At 33.2% G+C, this 9,528-nt stretch overlaps 1 annotated feature.

Moving 5' to 3' along the window:
• Nucleotides 869-1,422: an enhancer, noted in NCBI's record as "OCT4-NANOG hESC enhancer chr1:188058528-188059081 (GRCh37/hg19 assembly coordinates)". NCBI's record gives its function as "activates a minimal SCP1, AML or CMV promoter by ChIP-STARR-seq in primed H9 embryonic stem cells {active_cell/tissue: H9 hESC(primed)}" and the evidence as "EXISTENCE:reporter gene assay evidence [ECO:0000049][PMID:30033119]".

Genomic DNA, 9,528 nt, shown 5'->3' with positions numbered 1-9,528 from the left:
ATTTTAAAAATTAACTATTGGAAAGACAAACGGAGCAAAAAGGATGTTCTGAAAAAGAGGAAAAAATAAGAGGAATCTCAATCATGCATCTTGATCTTAAGGTTTTAGGAAAAAATTCCACAGAATTGATGTCATCTTCCTGATTCATAAGATTTTGGAAGAAAGTATCCTGTTTTTAAATATTGTTTGCTTTTAGAACCTTTAAAAATGAGCCTCAGGGTCAGACCCCACATACCACAGGGAATACAGTCATAATTTAGTATCCTAGAGCTCACTGAATATATGGTTAAGGGTAACTGACTTATTCTTTTTTTTTTTTTTTAATGGGACAGAGTCTCACTCTGTCGCCCAGGCTGGAGTGCAGTGGCGCAATCTTGGCTCACTGCAATCTCCACCTCCCAGGTTCAAGCAATTCTCTGCATCAGCCTCCTGAGTAGCTGGGATTATGGGTGCCCGCCACCATGCCCGGCAAATTTTTTTTGTATTTTTTGTAGAGACGGGGTTTCACCATGTTGGCCAGGATAGTCTTGATATCTTGATCTCATGATCTGCCCGCCTCGGCCTCCCAATTACAGGCGTAAGCCTCTGCACCCAGCCTCCTTCTCTTCTTAATAGTAAGTCAGTGTTGTTATTGAGTTAACTGAAATATGGTGAATACGAAACATCCCTAATTACTTTATTGTCAATACCTTCCTCAAGATAAATTAATAAATCTTTGTGATTATTAGAGAACATTTAGTTAACCTCAAAGATAGGTGTAATATATATAGTATATATATATTAGTATATATAGTATATATAATATACTATATATTTATATATATTATATAAACAAGCAATTAAAAAACATCAGAAATCTAACTGTTCTTCAAATCACTTGAAAAGGAAAAACAATGCACTTTTGCTGTTTTTGTTCTTTTTTAATCTCATTCCTAATCTATTCTTTCTCATGGAATGCATATAATAATAGGGAAAAAAAGGCACACAGAAGTTTAAGGATTTTAAGAAACTTTTTCTGGCTAGAACTGTAGCACACAAAGATATTTAAGCTAATTTACATGAAAACAAACTCAAAACCAAACAAACAGAAAAACACAGCAGGACTTAAATGAAACAGCTGAAGTGTGACTGAATAGATGCAGGAAGTCAGTGAATAAATGTGATTGGATAGATGCAGTCAGATGTTTTCAAGGTTATGCAAGTCCTGTGGGGTTCAAACTAAAACACATGTAAATACCTCAGGTTCTCACTAGAAATATCAATTCTTAGGCCACATTCTCAGAGATTCTGTTCCAGGAGATCTGTTGTATTTCCCCAGAATCTGCCCTTATGATAAAGCACTCCTAAGTAATTTAAACTGCAGGCAATTCAAGAAGCACACTTTAGCTAAACACATATAGATACTGGCATCTTCCTGAAATTGGTGAGTCTGCATATCTTAAGCTTATGCAAAGAGCTTAGCATACTGTTAGGTACAACAAATGTTATCAGAAGTCTTACATGTTTTAATCCCAATATTTAAAAGTAGAAAACAGGGTGAAATTTTGACATTGCAAAGACTGCTATCTATGCTGTGGGTGACATGCAGAGGGCAGGATCAGTCCCCCGCTGGTTTAGATGTTGATATGATGGTGCCACACATGCACCAAGAAGGTATGAAAAGATTATTATTCGGAGGGAAGTTTTCTGAGGTGAGTCGGCTTCACTTTCTGAGGAGGGCAGGTTCTCAAGCAGGTTTGAAAATAGTTTGAGAGAGAGGGAGTAGCTAGTGTCTTGGTGTTTTTTGTAGCTTGAAAAAGAAAAAAATGCACTTTTGTTATTTTTGTTCTTCTTTATCCCATGCCTAATCTATTGTTTCTCTTAAATGTATATATTTTTTATGAAAACATAGTGAGGGTTTCTGCCTACCCTCTGGGGCTTACATGGTTTGAATTTTAGCTGGAATGAAAGGAAGGAATATTTGAGGGGATATGTTGTTGTTACTTGTTTTGTTATCACATGTGAGTCTAGATGGGAAGAGGGAGAGGTGAGGCTTGATAGTTGTCAGCAAACATCAAAAATGGAGTAAAACTCTTATTAAAATACCTGGCAATATTTAGTCATTAAGACATTGCTGAAAATTTTGAGATATTATTATAGCTACCTGCAATCAGTGGAAATATCTATCTGTATATATTTTAAGCTACCTGTATTTTTAAATAAAAGACTCAGTAATTGCTGAAATATAATGCAGTCCATGGTATTATTGCAAACATTTTGCAAAATATAGCATGTTTATTTTAACACGAAAACATTCTTTGCAAGTGTTGTTCTATCTAAATCTACTTTAATTGTACTGTTTGAGTTTTGTGAGCTTAATCAAATAAATTTAAAATAAACATTATACACGAGAGTCCATTGATTTACTAAATCACACAACAAAATAATCCAACACTCATAACCACTGAATATGTATAAATCTTGTAGGTCTTACTAATAAAATAATTCAAAAGCAGTTTCTACAATGGGGATTTTATATTATGGAAATACCCCATATAGCTGAATTCCTTCAGATAGTGGATTCCACAGCAAGATTTTAGAAATTGACTAAAAATAAAAAGCCAATTGATGACTTTCACTCACATATATCTTCGTATTTTGAAAGTATTAGGATAACATGCAGAAAAAGGGGAAAAATGTTGGCATATAAATATCCAGCCAAATGCTAAACTTTAACAAAACCAAAGAAAACCCTCAGATAAATACATAAATTAATCTTGAAAATACTATGTGAAGATTATAATTCTAAATATGGGGAAAATCAAAGTGATTTCTTTTAAAGAATAAAAAGTTATAACTGGCTCTGAAGAAAGCCTTACCACCTACCTATGAAAACAAGTTTTAGCTGCAGGTGAGTAAGTAAACAAGTCTTAAAAGCTTTCAGAGGAATAAAACAACAAGGAGTAGAAACGGAAAAAAATTCTCACAGGGAACAAAGAAGCCAATCATTTCTATAACTCTGCAGGGACGGTTTATAACTGTGTCTGTGAATACCATGTCCAGGAAAAAGTTAGAACTTCTCTTCAGCTCTCCATTTTTCAGGTAAGAAGAATGTTTGGATAAGTGCTCTGACCAATGCTTGCTTTTTCGTTTTCTAAAATAATGATTGTGGCATATTATCTTTTTAACGGAAAATTCTAGGTTAATGAAGAATTTGGGGTGGTACACTATAACACTAAATAGGCAATGAAGTATTGATTTTTTTTTTTTTTTTTTTTTTTTTTTTGAGACGGAGTCTTGCTCTGTCGCCCAGGCTGGAGTGCAGTGGCGGGATCTCGGCTCACTGCAAGCTCCGCCTCCCGGGTTCACGCCATTCTCCTGCCTCAGCCTCCCAAGTAGCTGGGACTACAGGCGCCCGCCACTACGCCCGGCTAATTTTTTGTATTTTTAGTAGAGACGGGGTTTCACCGTTTTAGCCGGGATGGTCTCGATCTCCTGACCTCGTGATCCGCCTGCCTCGGCCTCCCAAAGTGCTGGGGAAGTATTGATATTTAAATCACATTTTGGAAAGAAGAAATTTATCTACTGAGCAATGGTGAAACCGTTTATCTTCTGAGCTATTAACAACTCTGTCACCTGATATAATTGTATTCATTTGGATATGATTGTACTGATTTTAATTTATAGGTGTATAGCATGGTGCCCATGAACAATGCCTACCATGTAACCTTAGCATTTATATTATATAAAAGTATTTAGTTACCATGCTGAAAAACATTAGAAATGCTAAAGAAACATGAACAAAAAGTTTTAAAAAGTCAATCACAATAACAACCAAGATAAGCAAAATAAAACCAACATTAACTGTAGTCCTATTATATAAAATGTCATCCAGAATGAATTATAAGTCAAAATAATTTGCTGGGCACAATGGCATCCACCTGTTGTCCCAGATACTCAGGAGACTGAGGCAGGAGGATACCTCAAGCCCAAGATTTCGAGGCCAACCTGTGCAACATAATGAGGCCCTTTCTCAAAATAAATAAACAACAACAAAAACAAAAACAAAAGAATCAATTCTCAAGAAGAATTAGGATCCCTATGGTAGTGTGGCCAAATGAATGGACAAAGTCTCAGAATATCTAATATGGTTTGGCTGTGTCCCCACCCAAATCTAATCTAGAATTGTAGTTGCCATAATCCCCATGTGTTGTGGGAGGGATCCAGTGGGAGGTAACTGAATCACGGAATAGTTTCCACCATGCTGTTCCTGTGATAATAAATGAATTCTTATGAAATCTGATGGTTTTATAAGGGGCTTTCCCCTCTTTGCTCAGCACTTCTCCTTCCTGCTGTCATGTGAAGAAGGACATGCTTCCCCTTCTGCCATGATTATAAGTTTCCTGAGGCCTTCCTGGCCATGCAGAACTGTGAGTCAATTAAACCTCTTCTTTTTATAAATTACCCAGTCTTCTTAGCAGCATGAGAACAGACTAAAACAAGATCATTTATTAAATGTATCAAATAAAATACTTAAGACCAAACCAAATCAACTATATTTAACTGAAGTTATATCCATGGATCTCTTTGTGGCCTTTGAACCCCATATAGAAAACCACTGGTAATATGAATGTAGTAGAAACAAAAAGATATATAAGTAGGATAGAGATATATTTAAGCAGCAGAAATTATCAAACTTTCCGATGGAATATATTGGGTACCCGGAAGTGATTGAGAGTGAGGGAGTAATCAAAGGGACACCAACTTTTCAAAGTTACTTGATAGGGAGATAGATGGTGATGCCCTTTCCACAGATAGTGATAACCAGCTGGTTGACTTGGATATATGTCTACAACATAGTGATAATAGTGGTGGGAGACATACAAAAGTTCCACTTTGGCCCTGTGGTTTTTGGAATGCCTTTTAGATTCTACAAACAAGATGTCAAATGGGCAGCTGGAAGCTTAAGTTACATGCCAGATGAGAGTCTGTGTTACAGAAATAAATATATACGCTAACAGCATATTAATATATGTTTTAAAGCCATGGACTTGAATAAGATCATGTGGAAGTGGATGTAAAAAGAGAAGAGGCTCAAGCACTGAATACTGCAGTAATCCATCCTTTAGGTGTTGAGCAGAGGAGGAACCATCAAAGTAAACAGTAGGAGAAAAAAAACCTTAAAAAGCACTTTATGGTGGAGTGAGTTGGGTAGAAATTGAAATGTTTTAGGGTGAGGTGTAAATTGAAATTGAGACAGAATAAGCAACTCTTAGAAATTTTGGCTGTGAAAGAAATTAGAGAAGAGAATAATAGCTGATGGACATAAGGAAAAAGCATGTATGTTTTGGGTTGGGAGATACTAGAGGATATTTATAATCAACCAAAAATGATCCACTGGAGAGGGAAAGATTGATCATATCATTCAGTAAACAGAATCAAAAAGATAACATATGTCTTAAAAAATATATTCAAAATGAACACTTTACAGAAGCTCCAAAATGACTTAAAAGTAGGGGTAAATAATGAGATACTTAGTTACAGCACTGTAAAAATATTTACTACTTTTATTAATTTCTACCATTTATTAAGAGTTTATCATGGTCACAGAGTGAGATGTCTTATGCATATTATCTTTAAATTTCACAGTGGCCATAAAGTTATTTTCATTTTTACATGAACAATATGAGGCACATACAAGTTAAGTGTGTGTGTGTGTGTATATATATATATATTTTATATATATGTAATTTTATATATAATATAAAATTTATGCTATATAATATAATATATATAATTTTATAAATATAATATTTTATAATATATATAATATATTATCTATATTTTTATATAATATATAGTTTTATATATATAATTTATCTCTTGTTCCCCATAGCTGTTTTTATACAAAGACAGATAAAACCTACCTTCTTCAGTGCATCTGGTGATTATGTAAATGTTTTGCATTTTTGCTAAAACTTGATTTAAGGAAAACTAGTTCTGTAAGATGTACCTATGTATAGCGCACACACGCACATACCCACACACGCACAATTCGATTGTTCAATATGTTTGGGAAATCTTATTGCTGTTGTGGTTTTCAGATAAATTCTTACAAGCTTTCTTCTGATAGGCTGTCATTTTGAATTTCCAAAGTGGCACCAGCAAAGATGATTGCCATGTACTGTGGCATAGACTGTGCACAAATCTAATCTATGATGACATTCCTAGATATGTTTAATTCATAACCCACAGAATAATACCTGAGTGTTCAGTTCCTAAACCCTGGTATTCAATCTTATTTTAATATGGAAAACTTTATCTTTTCTTATAAATCGCAAGAGGCTAGAACTCAGCAGGTTTACTTTAGGAATTCTCAGTGTTTTATTAATTGCTCCTATTATTACAAAATATGTACTAATTTATTTAAATCAGGATATAGGAATAGTATATTATAACAATACTTTTGCTATGCCTTCCGAATTTAGGGGAGGAATATGTGCCCCAGGTTTGCCATTAGAATTGTTTATACAAGGTGTTCTGTGATATGCAAGAGGTTCAACATATTCTGTGTGACAAGCTTTTTGTACTAGGAATTACATCCTCACTTAAGAATTATTCAACTCAATCTCTGTGCCATCTATGCTCTTAAGACAAATTCAGATTCTACAAGACCATTTATTCATCAGAGTAAGAAAACAGAGTCACAGACAAAAATCTGAGGCTAAGCTGTCATTGGAAACAAACAATATGCTTATTTCTTGATTACTGGAGTCATGGATGCAGGCATAGAGACAAATTTATTGTAAAACTACTGGTTATATATTATCTAAATTTATAATGTATGTATGTGTGCATGTATGTGTATGTGTGCTGCAAATAGTACTTCTTTATAGGTGGATTAAAACATATATGATAAAAGCAGTAGATGTTTAATGTTAATCAGTTTAAAATCTAAAGTGCTCTTCCTCAAAAGCCATGTATGTTTGCTTCAGTCCCCACAGATCTCCACCATTCTCCCACTGACTTGATACTGGACAAAGTGCAACAAAAGAGGATTCCAATGGCAGTGGTTTGAAGTTGATAATTAATTACATAAAGTCACATTTGGAATGAATAGCACCAATGATCCTCGTCCAAAGGAACAGCTATTATTCCCTCAATTTCCTATCAGGACAACCTGCAAAATATTTTTGATAAAGTGAGAAGAGATTTAGTAAGAATTTTATTTATTTTCTAAACTTAAGAATAGAAAGTATGGGTATAACATCTGAGAAGGCACCTCACAATGTTTTGATCTGATTCCTAATTTTTACCTTTATAAAAATAGACTAACTTTGTGACTTGTTAACTCAATAATTGTGTAAATCAAAATTTATGATCATTAAAATTTATGGTCTATAAGTCAACTATAAATGTTTAAGTGTCACTTAAAATAGTAGGTCCCTATTATAACACTTGGGTAAGAAATGTATAATGTCTGAATATCCATTAGTTATAACTTTTAAATTTCTGTTTCAATTATTTAACTCAAGCTTAAGGATTTGGCTGAATAATATAGGTTTCACTTACTGAAAAAAAAATTCAAGTTTAAATAACGTATTTTTTACTCCAACGTAGAAAAGATGTCCCTCAAGAAATCTTGCTTAAAGTAAAAAGAAATGCTAATGAAGCAACCCAATGTTTGTGTGCCAAGTGTTCTTCTATTTCTCTATACCAATGTATCTATATTCATACAAAACAACTTTGATATTGGCTATTTTGTACTTATAACTAGGCTGGTATGACTGTAAGCCCTATGTTAGATGTATCTCTTATTAAAAGTTGATGGTTTTTAGAACAGGATTGATTCCAGCTCAGGGTGGTCTTAGGAATGTGGATTTTGCTTCCTGATATTTAATGAGGCAGGTCATTAGTTGGTGGAAGCTTCATTCCAGATGGTAGGTGATAATAGTGTATTTAGGGAGATGTGCTGAATTAAGGGAAAAGCTTATTTACTTCCTGGCCAAGACTTTCCTTTTACCAAAGAAGATATTTTTAGACTCTGAATTCCCATTTGGTATCAGTTACGAGAGCAAGCCCTAAAGAAGCCAATGCCCTTAACAACATATTTATAATTTCTTGCTAGCCTTTTATTGTTGTTTTTAACACTGCATTTTCCTGGTTATTATGAAGCTCCATAATTTTATCACTGAATCAAAACATTGGTAAGAGTTGCATGATATTTAAAAAGAACTATTTTATATGCTGTAACATCAGTTTCTGGTACTCGTTACCAATGATGAGGACAGAAGTTCTTAAAATTGGATGTCTTGATTTTAGGGAGAAGTATGATCTGAAACTTTATTTATATGAATATAAGGCTCTACTATGGCCTATATATCAGTATTTACATGTGTGGTGGTAGATTTACTTTCCATTCTTGTGTTGATCATTTTACACTTGAAGCAAAACTCTCTCCAGGATTAGCTTATTTAGGATGGAATAGGTCAAGCTGAGTATGGAAGCCAGAACAATAAAATTCCTTATCATCTGTGGCACAGAAGCCACAAATCCTTCTGAAAAATAGGTGCTTAGAGATACTACGTGAGCATCTTCCATAGCCTTAAAATGAGTGCTTTTTAATGCATGGCAAACAGTAAAATTCAAACAAGAACCTTATGTTATACTGCAGTATGTGAATTTTAAATTAAACTATTTATTTACCCTCACTTTCAATAATTTCTGGGTGAAAGAAGATCTAAATAAATGAAATACCAAATACTTTATTTCTTCAATTTTGTAGGAAATAATGAGAAGAAATTATATAGAGAGATGTTAATCTTTATGCCAAGACAAATACCTAAATTATGAATATAAGCATTATTGTGTAGCTTTTGAAAAATTGTCTTAAAAATGTTTCTGATATTTTTAAATGTCACCCGCTTATTTTATTGGATTTCAACTCACAGATCAATGGTAACTTTTACAGCAATATATGCCTATATAAATGCATTTCTTAAAAATATTATGTACATGTCAACGTACAATTTGTCAAATGCAGAAGTATTCCAATGGATATTTAATAATATTTTATTCTCATACATTAAGGAAGTTATATCATATATGTAAACAAATTATAAGATAAATATATTTATATTTGTTTTAAATTATCTTGAAGTATATTAATGTATATTAATCATGTTCCTTAAACATGATTCTTAAAAATAAATAAATAAAATTTTTAAATTACCTTCTTTCTTTTGAGGAGTGTTGTTTGATAAAATGAGTACCTGTAGGTATATTTTCAACTTACATGATTTGGATATTTTTCTTTTTTTGCCAAGTAAAGTCTAATAGCAATTTTTATAAAATTACTTCAGGTAAATTTTCAGTTTTAAAAAATCCAGGCACAAAAAATAGAATGAATAAGACCTAATATTTTATAGAACAACAGGGGGACTATAGTGAATAATAATTTAACTGTACATTTTAAAATAGAAGAGTAGAATTGGACTGTTTGTAACACAAAGGATAAATGCTTGAGGGGGTGCACACCCAAGTTTCCAT

This window comes from Homo sapiens, chromosome 1 (genome assembly GCF_000001405.40).
Source record: "Homo sapiens chromosome 1, GRCh38.p14 Primary Assembly".
Taxonomy (NCBI): Eukaryota; Metazoa; Chordata; class Mammalia; order Primates; family Hominidae; genus Homo; species Homo sapiens.
The sequence above is the reverse complement of the archived record's forward strand: the minus strand, read 5'-3'. Positions and strand labels throughout refer to the sequence as shown.